The following is a 16,466-nucleotide window of genomic DNA, read 5'->3' as shown; positions in this document are numbered from 1 at the left end:
ATGCAATTCAAACTATTGAATGCTCAGATACTTGTGAAGACTCTAGGCCCATATTAAAGGCCCACTACTCTCTGTTAATTGCTAGAGTGCCTTTCTTGCTTGAAATCAATGTATAGGTTGCTGTTTTGCAAGAAACTATAAACCCCCATTAGAATTTACCCACACTAACACCCTTCAGTCTGCAAGTTCAATAATCGAAACTAAATTAGAAGATAACCAAGCTGGAAAGTGCAGGGTGTACCATAAGTAGGAGATTATACCTAGAATTTGCTGCTGGGCTCAGCCAACATTTACTGTTAGAATTAGGGTTAGATACTGAGGAGGCTGGACTAAGGGGAGAAGATAAGAGAATGCAAAATTGAAAGAAGAAGAGTTTGTGGATATGAGAGCACTCTCTCATAATACAGGATTTAACATCTTGGCAATGTGCTAGGAAATGAAATTGACATACTGTTTTTGGAAGTTTGAGAAAGGTGATACCCAAACAAAGTAAAATTGAAATGCCAAAACTGATATGGCATAAAATGGAAAAAATGGAAGTAGGAATGCTGGTATGGATAAACAACATAAGACTGGAAAACCCACCAGTTGAGTATATCCCATGAGAGGGACTAGAGAATACTCATTTTACCCCAGTGCTGATGAAAAGTATGCACACATTCCTGAGAAGCTCAGTGGCCACTTTCTACATTTCCATACTGATGATAAGAAATGCTACTCAAACATTTGGAGCATAATTGGCAATAAAGATGACTGTGAAAAACAGGAAACAAGTGGTAGACAGAAGGCTGACTGATCATAATAATTAGGATTATTTGAGAGGTAACTGGAGAAGATCTGATATAATCTGATAAATATTTGAGAGGCCTATAAAGATGCTTAAAAATACTTAAAGTTCCTAGAAAGTGGTTCTCAACCAGGAAAAAGTTTTCTAAATTGCACAAGGTCTAGGAATATTGCTGGCTGTCACTTTGGCAGAATGATGCTGCTGGCATCAGAATAGTAGAGGCCAAAGTTGCTGCTAAGCATCACACAATACACAGAATAGCCCCCACAAGAAAGAAATATGCAAACAATAATATCCATGTATCTGAGGTTGAGAAACACCAAGGTAGGGATGAGGTGGATAGAATCAAAGAAGTCAAATATAGTTATTCAGGGGCTAAAGGCAACCATACGCAAACAAGTCACAATTTCTGAATTAATTTCTGTTTAGGGACAGTTTTTCAGATCCAGTACCAATTGACTACGGTAGACAATGAGTATTTGGGGGGAATGATGTTACAATAATTCCCATAGTACTTCCTCAAATGGATCTATTGCTGATATGATTTGACTGTGTCTCCACCCAAATCTCACCTTGAATTGTAATAACCGCCATGTTTCAAGGGTGGGAGCAGGTGGAGATAATTGAATCATGGGCGGGGGGGTGGGGGGGTGGCGATTTCCCCCATACTGTTCTTGTGGCAGTGAATAAGTCTCATGAGCTCTGATGGTTTTATAAATGGGAGTTCACCTTCCCAAGCTCTCTTGCCTGCTGCCATGTAAGATGTGACTTTGCTCTTCATTTGCCTTCTGCCATGATTGCAAAGCCTCCTCAGCCATGTGGAACTGTGAGCCCATTAAACCTCTCTCCGTTATAAATTACCCAGTCTTGGGTATATCTTTATTAGCAGTATTGAGAACAGAATAATACAATTGCCACTTACTTAGGGAAGGGCATACCAGGAAACATAAATACACAAACATTTTGAGGATGACTGGACACAGAAATTAGGCTGATACTCTATTCAGGGTCCAAAATAATCATTAGGCTCTCTAATGGGAAAAACATAAGGGAACAGATAATAAACGAAGTTGTGACACATGCTGTGGCCCTCAGTGTGTCTTCTCTATCCACAAACTTAACTGGCAGTTATTTTTCCATGTACACAAAAGTATATTGAAAATGAACTATAAAAAATTTGGTAGAACTCAAAAATTGGTCACTGTCCTGTATAACAGCTGCTGTAGAAATGGAAGCTGTGTAACTGCCTCTCTTCGTTGCCAGTCAGATGGTAAATCAGAAGCAATATTCTATCCTGGAGGGAATAGTAGAAATTATATCTACCTGTAAAGCATAAGGGAAGCTTCTGGCCAAGATGGTGTAGCAGAAACTTTACATGTGAAGCAAACTCAAAATCGGGGGGGAAATGATATGAAACAACAATCTTCAAAACAAGATATATCAGGAAACAAAGAACAGTGTTCCCTGAGATATGGGAAATAAAAGAGAAAGCCCTAAAATTGTCCAAGTGCATTGCCTTAAGAGAGTTTCCAGGACACAGCGCAAGAAAACAGAATCTAAAAAGAGTCTGGGAGACTCTCTGAGTCGAGAATATGGAAGTGGAATCCAGCGAGACGAAGGAGGATAGACTTTGTAACAGAAAGAGGAGCATGGAGAGATAATTCTAGTGATATTCAGAGCGAGAAGTCCATAGACCTGCAGAGGGTCCTTCTTGAGTATTGGGCAGAATAATGATCAACACAAGGCAGAACTGTGGAGGATGCCCAGAAGCAGAGGCTAGAGAGGCAAGCTTGCCATGAGTCGTCCCAGAAAACTCTTGAGGAAGGAGCAGAAGAGGAGTGAAACCCCTGAAGAAACAATATAGAAATTGAAGGAGACAGAGGAGATGGTAATCAAGAAACAGGAGTTTCTGGAGCAGACAATTCAACATGAATTGTTCATTAGCAGCATTGAGAACAGACTTTCAAAGAACCATGGTTCCAAGAATAAGAGAGCTGCTCTGCAGGCTTTACAGGGGAAAAAAAGATGGGAACAGCAGCTGGCACAAACTGATAGAACATCATCCACCCTAGAGTTTCAGCATGAAGTCATTGAGAATGCCACTACCAATGCAAAAATGTTTTGTACTTTGTAGTTAGCTGCCTGAGGCATGGTTAGCTGCCTACCAGGACCTGGACATTGGCAAGGTAGATGAACTGATGGATGACATCACAGAATAGCAGGAGGTGGCCCAGCAGATCTCAGATGCCATTTCTTGACCTGTGGGTTTTGAAGAAGATGTGGGTGATCATGAACTGTTGGAGGAACTAGAGAAGCTGGAGGAGGAATTGGCCCAAGAATTGTTAAATGTGGGGCAACAAGGAGGAAGTGAACCCCAGTCAAATGGCTAGTGTATCCTCCACACTATCTGCCTTCCTGGGAGGGTCGGCTCCCAAAGCAGATGAAGACAAAGAAGCACAAAAGGAGTGGCTGCGTGGGAATCCCGATAAGTCTGGGCTGGTCTTGTTGTTCCCTTTTCCTTAAGTGCCAAGTGCTGAACAAAAGGAGTATAACTTTTGGAGGAAATCCTGCTGAGGCTGGTAGTATGACCCTCCCAGAGAAAAGGGTCTGTTGCCTTTTTAGCCCTGGCTCAATTCTGAAGAGGAAACTTGCTGTAGGAGGAGGACCTGAGCTCCTTTCTATTTAAAAGCAGTTGCAATATAAACATATGCATAAAAGAAAATACCTGAGACCTTGGAAAGAGCCACCAGGAAAGATAGAGGGAATAGTATCCAATACTCACATATGGTGCCCATCACCCAGAATTGCAAACTTTATATTCCTTGGGATACTGAAGAAACTAATCAGAAGCTTTCTAAGTAATAACACAGCTAGTAATGGATCTAAAAAAAAAAACTCAAAAGGATCAAATGTCTTCCAAATAACTATATCCCAAAACAAACCACAATGATATTTATAGGAATATAAAAATATCCATCAACCAAAGACATAAAATTTCAAATTTCTGACATTAAAAGAATGCTAGGCATGCAAAAAGATAGAAAAATGTGATACATAAGAAGTAGATAATTATTATATCAACATCAACCTACAACAGACACAATTGTTCAAATTGGCAGACACTAAGAAAGGCAAAATGCATACCTAGAGGAAGACCTGGTGAACTCACTCCTCCCTATCCCTGTCTTTAAAAAGAGAGGAAAAAAGATAGAAGGAAGTATGTCTAGGACAGTTTCACCTAGACATTAAGGGAGGTACTAGAGGCACTAGGTGTCCTGATTGAGTCTATTCATAGTCTCATGTATCTATCATCATAGAAAGAGGCCAGATCCAATATTTCACTTCAGGCTTTATATGGGCAAAGGGAAACTTTTTTTTACTTTCTGAAGGTTTGCTAACAAAAGGTAGATCAATAGATAGGTATACAAAGTTTATTAATGTGCACCCGTATGCATAGGGGGGTCATGCAAAATATTAAGTCAAAGAGGAACCAGATGTTTGATGTTTAAATATTCTCCTCATAGGAGAGAGATCCATGGACCTGGGAGGTGGAAGGCAAATTTCATGGCAAGAGGTAGAGCTGCACAAAAACAAAGCTTGACTTATTATACAAAGTTCCTCAGGTAATCTTTTGGAGCTTCCCTTAGAATAGATGAAAAGTCTTTCTGGCATAGCGGTGACTCCCAGTCTCTTTTCTTCTATGGTTGATCTTTCCTGATTATTCAATAAGATCCTAAGGGAGGTGATTTAAGGCAATTGCATTTATTTTGGAAAGAATCTTTCTTGATCAGATAAGAAAATTCCAGAGAGAGTCCCTCTCTATCAGGAGAACAAGAGAAGTCTGTAGGACCTTGATTCTGAGGCAGCTTCCAAGGCCTCTCAACATGTCAAAATGCCAGTTATAAGGGTATCACTTTCTGAGCCCCAACTGCTTAAATGTAGAAGCAGGACAATCAAACTTATTGGTCAGCTTTGGTTTTTGTCCACTGATGAATAACTAGTCTAGGAATACAATCTCACTCTATCATTCTTCCCAAATTATTTGCCACTGTAGTCCGTATACTTAGCCTGGGATAACTGATGGCAGATTACTTATTTGCAATGCTTTTAGAAATTTTTAAGTCTGCTGTCCAAATATACACTAATTATAACACAACTTTCTCTAATTCTATATATTTATGTATGTTATACATAAATATGTGTGTGTATGTGTGTGTGTATATATATACACACACATTATCTCACACATATATATGTATATATCACACATATACACACATATATATCTCACACATTACTGTTAGAATCTGCTTATTAGAATCTTCTGCACTTTCTTGAAATAGACTGAAATTTGTTTCTTTGTCTACCCTAGAGCTATTTGTGGCTAGCCAGGGTAACACTGGAAGTGGTTCTCGTTGGGTATTTTATACCTAAAATTCTTCATAGTTACTGTGGTCTCTGGCTTTTAACACATACCTAAATAAGAACACAGTTCTCAAAAAAAAATGAACATAAATATAGAAAAAAATTAACAAATAATTATCTGTATTTGGAATCAGCTAAATGACACATTTTACATCTCTGCATTTAGACATTTTCAGACACCATCAGATTATAGCAGTCTAAAAATGAGAAGCAACTTGCTCAGAAGAAACGTGAGGTTCTGAAGACATAAAATACAAAGAAAAAAGTCATTCTATTGTAGAGTTAAAGAGGTCAAAATTTAACACTTTCATTCTTCAGGTTAGAAAATAATTTAAATGACCAATTGAAAGTAATGCACCCAGCCAGCACAGGCTGGAAGTCAGCAGTCTTCTTCTCAGTCTAGTTTAACTTTATCCTTACCTGTGTGGCTTATTCTTATATGGCTCCCAGCCTTTATTTATTTTATGGACTTATTCTCATATGGCTCCTGGGCCTTTATTTATTGTATGGACCTGTAGTGCTTTTCCTCTTTTCAATTAATTACTTTATAATTTCACCAAACTTAAATTCCATTTGAATTTTTACCCCTTCCAAGAAGTCATTCACCATCATTTCATCCCAGTCCCATACTTATTCCTTGTTTCTCTGAGTTCTTCTTGGTAGCATTAGGCAATTAATTACTCTCTAGCTGTGACATCTAGCTACATTTATCTCCATGTCTAAGGAGAACTCTCTATCTCAAATTCCCTTCCTTAACCTCCCATAGCTAAGATTCTCCAAAATTAAAATTTTAAATGTCAACAAAGGTTACTGATCCAGTGATACAGTTTTTTTGGATCTCTTTGTCATTCATACCCATTTTTAATTTTTACATTTTTGGTTTATTTCCTCTACCTGTAATTATTCAAGGCTCTTCTTCCTTTGGCTGTACCTAAAATGAATATATTCTTGAATAAACCATGCACAAAAAATGGGGATAGTTTATTACTGCAGCATAATTCTGCTTTCCTGACTGGTACAGCAGTTGTGAATATCTCATTCAGTAATGAAGAATATAGGAGTTGATATCTATTGGAGAGACTACAGGGGGGATCTCTAATACCTGTTATTGGAATAAAAAGAGTAAATCAATTTTTAAACTAACTCTATTTGATTACAAAGTGCACTGGAGTGTAGACGATCTAAGATTGGCTTAAGCAGATCTTTCTCAATTATTGGAAAAACAGTTCCTGCCAATGCTCGGCTTTTAAGATATCTTAATATCAAGGGGCCTGAGCAAATTTGTCATCCATTTGATTAACAAATGAGATGACAATGCCTTTCATCTGCTATGTGGTGACCAAGAAATCTTAAATATCAATATCCAATAGTGTCTTCCCAGTTTCACTGACCATTCTTGGCAGGGTGGAATGGGGATGGAATTGCCTTCATACTTTTAAAGGCAAAAGTATAAACAATATTTCCTGGAGAGTAGAAATATGAGAGAAACTAAGAGAAATGTTATCACACTTTGAAACCTCAAAGCACAGGGTAAATCTGTTATTTTATGTAACTTTCATCTTCAGGATTTGAGATAATCAAAGGCAATATCAAAGGAATACTATGGTTTATGCACCAGATTTACCACCTCGGAAGCTATAAAGCATATCTTTAAGAGGTAGGTAAGATTTTTTTAATGTTTAATTATTCATTGATGCATTGTAATGTAGAAGTTAAGACTTGGGGTTCTGATATCAGACAACCTAGGTTTTAATGTCTGTTTCACTATTTCTGTGCATCTCTGAGCATGTTACTTGGCCAAAACTCATTTGTTTCCTTTGAAAAACCAGAATTTAAAAAGGACCTGTCCCATGGGGTTGGGGTGGAGATTGCACAAGCATGTAAACTCACTGCCACACAAAAAATATGCAGAATTATTTCTGATTATCTATAATTTGCTTACTCCTCCCTCCTTTGGTTTTTCCCTCAGGGGTGTAAATTTAAAGTCCTTAAGTAGAAACTGTCAATGTTTGAGACCATCAAGAAAATTGGTAACTGAGGGGGTTACCTTTAAGTCTGCCCCTGGAATTTGTTTTACTCAGAGGCAGAGAGGAAACTGAAGATGTGATAGTATCTACTATATGAGAAGAAAGCAAGCAGAGTATATGTGAACTGAGATGAAACATAATGAAAAATTAGGAGCCTATGTAAACCTGAAAAGGGTACTTGGTGTAGCATCTTTAGAAGTTCCAAGTGGTGCCCCATTGAGCATATGCCTGTTTCTAGTCCTAGAATTGCAGTACCATGGGGAATGTGTAAATGCTTTAAAAGAACTAAGTGATGCACGCAGTGATAACTGAAGTAAACTTGTCAAGCTATAACTTGATTTTTCATATCAATTTATTTCATTTAAATGTTAGATTTTACTTCTTTAATTAGCAAATGTCTTAAACCATACCTAATATTTAGGATTAAATTGAGGTCTTCAAATTAAAAAAAAGTGTACATAGCTATCAAATCATGTGAACTATAGAGCACTCTAAAGCATTTTTGTCTTAATTTTTTCTATTATCAAACAAAATTTCAGCTTTGGTATGCAATATTTGCAAAAATAATGCTTGCATTTTTATGTTAATATACAGCTGGAAAAGAGTACATAGCAATTATGTGATGACTAAAAGGCCCCAAAGCATAATAGTGATGTTTTGAACAATTTAATCCATTAAAAGCTCAGTTAAGTGAATAAAGAAAATACTTTTAACATATGGTTGTAGTAAAAAGTGGTAAACATTTTAGTATAATGGAATATTTTTGAGTAATTTCACCTCTTAAACCAATGTTTTCCAAAAATGGAATGAGAGACATTTAAATCATCAGAACTCTCGTTATTATTAACATTTCATCTAATCTCCATCATACAGTTTTTAAAGTTTTCTACAGTCTTGTTTCCTCTGACCTTTATATTCATACGATTTTCTACTCTCTGAAGGAGTCTATAAAGGCAGATCCATCATCATCTTCCAAGTTCAGCAGCCTCATTTTTACTTTCCCATGTGATATGGTTTGGACATGTGTCCCCTCCAAATCTCATGTTGAAATGTGACCCCCAGTATTGGAGGTGGGGCCTGGTGGGAGACGTTTGGGTCATGGGGATGGGTTCCTCATGAATACCTTGGTGCTGTGCTCACTATAGTGAGTGAGTTCTCATGATACCTGGTTGTATAAAAGCATATGTCACCTCCCCCTTCTCTCTCTTACTCCCACTCTCACCATGTGTTATGCGTGCTCTCCCTTTGCCTTCTGCCATGGTGGTAAGATTCCTGAGGTTGCATCAGAAGCCAAGCAGATGCCAACACCAAGCTTTCCGTACAGCATGCAGAACTGTGAGCCAATTAAACATCTTTTCTTTATAAATTACCTAGCCAGGTATTTATAGTGATGCAAGGATTGCCTAAGACATCATCTTTCTTTCAGAATTGCCCATAGGACACTCACTCTCTCTTCAAACCCACCTTTTCCCTGATGTTCAACTCCACACTCTCTTGTTACTAATGCATATTTATTAACTTTTGTGTTTCACATACTGTCCTAAATACTGAAGCATCACAAAGTCATTGGTACTAATCTGCTCACAATCTAGTGGGAGAACATTTTTAAATGAGCAATTGAAATAAATTATGATAAGAAGTATGTATTAGTCACAGCATTTGTATAAAGGAAAGAGTGATTCACTAAACAGAGGTCAAAGTCTGTTGAAGTTATTGAAGTGAAAGCTTGACTGTGTGAGTGATATGCAGTGATTGTGTGGATGGTGGACTATGATTCCCCAGATAGGGGAAGGGAATCTTAGGAAGAGGGAAGAAGCTGTGTAAAACCATGAAGGATTGAAACAATTCGGCTATCACGAGTAGGAATGGTGTGACATAATGCATAATGGATAATGTATTAATTGGTATCCATTCAAAAATAATTCACCGAGGATTTCACCATAGTAACAGTATAAAAAAGGAAACTTATTAGGAGGCATTGTTAGGGAGGTAAGTTGGGGTCAGATCCTGAAGGGCTGTGCCATGTACTGACAAAACAGAGTGCTCAGATTGTATCCTGTTCTTGGTGAGGTATCAATTTGAGGAGTAATTGCTGTAGATATATCACTCTGCCATTCCATAACAGATGTAAAATGATGGGGTAAATAGTTGTTCTACCAAATGAATTAAATAACACCTCTGACCTACTCTCTCACCGATAATGCCACGCCCGCCCTTGCTACGTGCCAGATCATTCTAACAACAGACCATCTTGGATGAAGGTTACAATCTGGATTCTCTATTTGCATGTCTGAGTTACTGTGAACTTTAGAAGAAAAATACCATTTTCATTTACTGTTCTAAGAGCTTCAGTACAACCCACCAATTGCTTTTTGTTTTTTTCTGACTCCTCATAATTGCTATTTTAAAACTTGAATATTCTCTAACAGTCTCTTACTCAAGCACATTCTCTCTTTCCCAGAAGACAGAAGTCAACCTTCCTTTCATTTCTTGTAGGGGTGTTAGAGCTTCCATGAATAATTCCTCTAAACAACCCCTCTCTCCTACCAAGATTAAACTTCATTCTATATTCTTAACTATCTTTCCCTTCTTTTCTCAAAGTTCAGAGAAGAGATGTTAGGGAATTCTACCTACTTCTCCTTTGTGATGGAAACATGTTCACTTGCGTCCTTAACTCCTTTCCCCCACTTCCTCTTGGACTTCTCTCTCATGCTCACTTAAGCTGTTTCCTGTATCATATTGACAACAAATATACATCTCCTTTCTATTCCCTAACGCAATGAAAATATTGCATACAATATATGCTCAGTTACATAGCCAATTTAGGACATCTAACATGACTCCTAAGTAATTCTCTATCATGCATCTTTAATCATTTACTAAGTCCAGTAAATGCTATTTCTTTAATAATGCTCTAAAACATCACATCTTAACCCTTGCCACTGTCTGTACTTATTTGAGACAATTATCACTTTTCAATCAAATTATTACAAAACTCTACAAATTGTTCTTTCTGTCTTTAGTTTGGACCATTTCGTAATCTTAACCTCCAGGAATTTCTTTTTTTTTGTATTTTTATTGGTTTGAGACTGAGTCTCGCTCTGTCGCCCAGGCTGGAGTGCAGTAGCGCAATCTCGGCTCACTGCAAGCTCCGCCTCCCGGGTTCACGCCATTCTCCTGCCTCACCCTCCCAAGTAGCTGGGACTATAGGCGCCGCCAACATGCCCGGCTAATTTTTTGTATTTTTAGTGCTGACCTCGTGATCCGCCCGTCTCGGCCACCCAAAGTGCTAGGATTACAGGCGTGAGCCACCGCGCCCGGCCTCACCTCCAGGAATCTCTTAAAAATTTATATCGAATCAGTTTCTCCCCCTCCTCCTCCTCCCACTAATTTAGAACTCATCAGTCCTTACTGCCCAAATACTCTGAGGCCAAAGTTGAAGAGATGGAAGAGATGGAATTGAAACTTAAATAAAAAGTGTACATTTTGTTTTGTTTTGTTCACAAATTGGTTTCTTTTAGTGACCTAGTAAACCTTTCTAAACATCTTCTATATGGTCACCCCAAACCAATTGAATTATTAATATTTGGGGGAGGAGTATTATTTTTTGTTCATTTTTGTTTTAAATAAGTGAATAAACAAAAGGAAAACTAAAAGTGGCCCTTATGAATTTGGGCCTTAAAAAATAACTAAATTATTTTGAAATGTGGCTGAAATAGCTACCAGTTTTTAATTGTGAAAAAGATTTTCAGTGTTTTTTGTTTGTGTTTGGTTAATTTTATCATTCTTATGGTACAATGGTTTGTAGGACTATTCCAGATACTTACAAATGAGCACGTACTTGTTTAGTTGTAGATCGTACCCCGAGTCTTATAGCTGACAGAATTTTGCAGAAAGCGACAAGTGTTGTACTTTCTTAAAAAATACTAAAAATGATCAAAATGAGATTTGTAGCCAAAGGGTGGAAAGTACAAAGGACAACACAAAATGGGCCCAGTATGCCAAAAGGATGAAAGAAGATAACGGTCAGTGTGAATTTACTCGACATTCTTTTGCTAAGTTCTGCAGCTAATGAGGGAAGTTTACTGCCAAGCTAGTAATCTCTTTTCCTGGTACAAATGCAAAAAATCCCAAATAAAGTTGCAGATCTAGGCATTTTACTAATCATTTTTTTTAGCTCATTATTTTTGGGGAATTTTAAATAGTGTGTCAAAATAAATGAAATGGGGGCACTGAAATAAAATCATGAAAGCAAAACTTTTAATTTTAAAACAGATTACTGAGGACATTCCAAAAATGAATTAAAATTATATGTGAGCCTGAATTTTTCTCCCTTCCTTATTTCTCCCTTCTTTTCTCTCCTGTTCCTTCACAGGCCTCTTCACCAGCTGAGGTCTTTCATTATCTATTATGTCCTATATATATTTCTGAAACTAATTATCCATAAGTACTTATCTGATTATTTCTAAAAGGAAAAGGAAAATTTCCCTCTGCAACCCTCCTCCACAGGCGTTACAGTTTTATGTATATATTTGGTGTGTTCCATATTCTTTCTATGCATTATTACATATATACATTTATAATTTTTAAACCACACACTAGGTCCCAATCAGCTTTGTTTTCTTAATTTAAAAGTTAATAAAAATGAATAATTAATTAACTATGACATAGTCTCACAATAAAATACAATACATTGAATTTTATTGTGAAGCTGTACTATATTTAAATGAACTAGTTATTTTCTGATTATACTTTTGAGTTGTTTCTAGTTAATTCTTAATATAAATCCTATTTTAATCTTTATATTTCTTTAAGACAAATTTTAATTGGTGAAATTGTAGTGTTAAAAAGGGCATATGCATTTAAAATATTGATAAACGTTAACGAATTGCCCCCCAAAATTAGCAAATTTATTATTTTATTGCCATTGTATGGAAGTGGCTATTTTTCCATATTCTTTTCTGAGCATCATCAAATGGTAAGCATTTTCAATCTTATCTATAAAAGCTATTATCTCACTGTAATTGTCAGTCCTATTTTCTTCTTTATTGAAAAGTTTTAACAAATTTTCTTATGCCAATTTGTCATTTGTAATAATTGTTTTCTATAAACTTCCATTTTTCAACCAGGCTACTGTTTTCTTTGAATATTTCAATGAAAATTTTGTGCTAAATAACTATCTGATTCATATTTGCATTGTCATTTTAATTTTTTAAATATTTGAGATATTTTTGTTATTGTAATTAATATTGTTATCTTTAAGCAAAAATGTATGTAATCAATCAGCCTTTTCTTTTGTGGATTTTAGATGTGATTTCTTAGAAAAATTTTTACTTCAAAAGCATGCACACTTCATTTGATTAACACATAGGTATATTCTTTTTATATTACCTTTATTTATTCATATAGAATGATTTGAGGTATGGAGTGAATAAGAAACCAGATTTACTTCCCCTAGATAGATGAGCAAATGGTTCTCAAAACCAATAATGGAACAATTCATTAATTCATTGATTTTTTTCATTTATATTTCTTCACATTATGTGCCATTCACTCCCAAAAGAACATTAAATACTTATGTTGTAGGTGGGAAATTATTTTCTTCCTGAAATTTATTAGACTGTTTCTTATGATTCATAATTAATCACAATTTTTATATTACTTTTAAGTTATTTTTAAAGAAGTTATCTATCTATATTGGCATAAACATATTTTTCTAAAATGTCCCAACACTTTGAGTGGCCGAGGCAGGAGGATTGCTTGAGGCGAGGAAATCAAGACCAGCCTGGGCAACAAGATGAGGATCCCAATCTACAAAAAATATTTTAAAATTAGCCAGACGGGCTGGGCGCAGTGGCTCACACCTGTGATCCCAGCACTTTGGGAGGCCGAGGCGGGCGGATCACGAGGTCAGGAGATCGAGACCATCCTGGCTAACACGGTGAAACCCCGTCTCTACTAGAAAAAAATACAAAAAATTAGCCAGGCGTGGCGGCGGGCGCCTGTAGTCCCAGCTACTCGGAAGGCTGAGGCAGGAGAATGGCGTGAACCTGGGAGGCGGAGCTTGCAGTGAGCCGAGATCGCGCCAATGCACTCCAGCCTGGGCGACAGAGCGAGACTCCGTCTCAAAAAAAAAAAAAAAAAAAAAAAAAAAAAATTAGCCAGACATAGTGCCACGTGCCTACAGTCCTAGCTATGCAGGAGGCTGAGGTGGGAGGGTCAGTTGAGTCCAGGAGTTCCAAGCTGCAGCGAGCTATGATTGAGCTGCTGCACTTCAGTCTGGGTGACAGAGCAAGACCATATCTCCAAAAAAAATGAAATTTCTATAAATGTCAGGAATAGTTCTTATATATTAAACATTTAGCATATGTTAAGGAAACCATTATTTTCAATTTTGAGTTATATTAATAGGCTTCCTTAAATTCTACTTTCATTTTGCCAAAATAAACATCAAAATGAATTATTCATTAATATGCATTTGATTTCACTTTCCAATCTTTTCTATATTATATTTTATATCATTGCTCAATAAATGATACCTGTAAAGTTTTTTTTTCAATCTTCATTATTTATTTTCATATCTGTTATGCTGGCTTAAAAATAGAAAATGTTCTTCATTTTAGGAGTAAATTAGGTAAAAATTGTTAGTGGGTTTTGTGTTTCTTTTTTGAGACAGGCTGTCATTCTGTTGCTCAGGCTAGAGTGTAGCTGCACAAACATGGTTCACTGCAGCCTTGAACTCCTGGGGTCAAGTGATCCTCCTGCCTCAGCCTCCCAAGTAACTGGGACTACAGGCATGCAACACTGCACACCCAGCTAATTAAAAAAATTTCGTGGGAGGGAAGAGATGGGGTCTCACTATGTTGCCTAGGCTGGTCCCAAATCCCTGAGCGCGAGCTATCCTCCCACCGGGGCCTCCCAAAGTGCTTGGGATTATAGGTATGAGCTACCACACCTGGCCATTAGTTTCTTAATAGGTGAAAGTAATTCACCTGTGAATCAATATGGGCATGTTGCATAAGGTGGAGTCTCGTCCTTAGATAATTGCCTCAAATTCTTCAAAGATGTTTTATAGGTGTGGCTTTTCCATCCCTTAATGAGGCATAACTAATGGTTTAATGACAAACAAAAATTTTATATTTTTGTCTTCTGTATATTCAGTTAATTTACTGTTAGATATCTGGATTTCTTTTCCCTTTTTTATGATTTATTAGGCTACCTAATGGTTGATCAATTTTGTGAATTTAAAATATCAGCTACTGCATTAGATTACCAGTTAACCTTTTGTTTCTTACCTAAGTCCTTGATATCTCTTGGGCACTTCATTCCTTTGCTTTGGTTTATTTTTATTTTCATCTTTAGTTTTTTAAAATAATAATTGTATGGTAATCAAAATTTATACCTGGTGGGATAAATGCAAAGATTTTTAAGGAGAGAATAGAGGAAGCAAAAGTTGAAGATGAATGAAAGTTACTTTAATGGTAAAGGGTATGGAAATTTATGGAGATGATTTTCTAGGGAAGAAACCACATAGAACAAATCTCAGTAGAGATAAAGACACCCTACGAACTCCAGAGTTCATTACAGAGACACACAGGTGCTGACATGAAAAATAGGGTAAGGACTGTCCTCAGTGCCACAGCTTTTCTACTGTTTGCTCAAGTGTGTTTTCTGTTCTTTTTCCTTCCTGAACTAATTCCCTTCCCAGTCATTCTAGAGAATATGATTATTTGACTGTGCTCACTAGGTACAATGAACTATGAAATATTTCAAGTGTGTGTTTTAAGACTAGGTGAATCAAACAGTACTACTTTCTATAACCAGCCAGTCTCTCAAAGGCGCAGGCTGTTTAGATTCAATTCTGTAGTTAATTTCCTTGTCAATGATTCATTTTAATTGGAACATAAGCTGCGTAGGTCTACATATCTCTGGCAAAATAGCAGAAACAAGTTTTAATTCCTATTATTATGGTAAGTATTTGAATAATTTATTAGGGAGTATGAGGTGTATGAACTAAACAAACAGGCATTTCATTTAAAAATTCAATAATTCATTTTTTTTAGCAAGGAGTAAGCATGAATAATTTGGGTCAGTATGATTTTTCTCTGGTATATTTTATATTATTTGTTCATTTTGAGTATCATTATGAATTAATGGTTCCTTACAAACTTTACTGGTTCTAGTTAGCTATAAATATTTATTATATTTAACATTTAAGTGGTCACTACTTGATCTTTCCATCAGGGCAACTTCTTAATGCTTTTTTAAAGCTACTGTAGGCATTTTTGAAAGCATCCTTTATTTGTAAAAACAAAATATTCTGGACTTATTTGGAGATTTTCTGACCCAGCCTTGGAATTCATGGATCAAATTGTGTTTTGTTCCATGAAAAAAGCCAGACTCAAAAATTAAATATTGTATTATTCCAGTCATGTAACATTCTAAAAAGGCAAAACTAAGGAATGGAAAATAGAGCAATGCTTGTTAGTTGTAGAGAAAGGATGGCTGACTATAAAAGGATACACAAGAGAATCTTTGTGGTAATGGAACAATTCTGTATGATACTGGAGTGCTGGATACATGGCTTTATGCATTTATCAAAATCTATAAAATTGTACATCCCTAAGGATAAACTTCAATGTATTAAAAAAAAACCCACCAAGTGCCTAGGATCCCAAAATAGAATGGAGACTATGATAAATGAATCTAACTGAATAAAAAACACAACATGACCTCACTGTATGGGGTGGAGATAAGGAGTTGAACGAATTAACACCAGAAAAGTGATGTTTAGACTGGAAACTTACCAGTTTCCAGTCTAAATTGGGAAGCCATGAGCATGTCTATCACCTGGTGTTTGGCTCCTGATACCATTATCCAATGAAAACAACAAGGGCTCCTTGTAGAAATGGTTGATTTTAGGGATGGGTCAGGTAACGCTCCAGATGAGCCTGAAGCAAGCTTTTAGTGCCAGAAGGCAAATAAGTGGTTACACAGCTGAAAACAAACAAACAAAACAAAACAAAAAACAGGGACATGCTTTTATAGTTTGAAGTATCTTTGTTCCACTGTTTATTATATTCTAGATTTGGTGAATTGAGCCCTCAGAATTTAATCTTTAATATTTCTACATTTTGACCTATCATTGTTTCCCTCGTAGTCCTTTTGTTCATTTTTTGTAAATATTCAAGTGCTTCAAATTATCTTATACTCTGTTTATTGCAGTT

The 16,466-nt window shown here is 36.5% G+C and overlaps 1 pseudogene; it reads left to right on the top strand.

Moving 5' to 3' along the window:
- On the top strand, positions 2,535 to 3,470 carry CHMP4AP1 (CHMP4A pseudogene 1; annotated as a pseudogene).
- The last annotated feature ends 12,996 nt before the right edge of the window (positions 3,471 to 16,466 follow it).

This window comes from Homo sapiens, chromosome 2, assembly GCF_000001405.40.
Source record: "Homo sapiens chromosome 2, GRCh38.p14 Primary Assembly".
In the NCBI taxonomy this organism is placed as follows: domain Eukaryota; kingdom Metazoa; phylum Chordata; class Mammalia; order Primates; family Hominidae; genus Homo; species Homo sapiens.
Note: the sequence above shows the minus strand (reverse complement) of the source record. Positions and strands in the feature narration are given on the sequence as shown.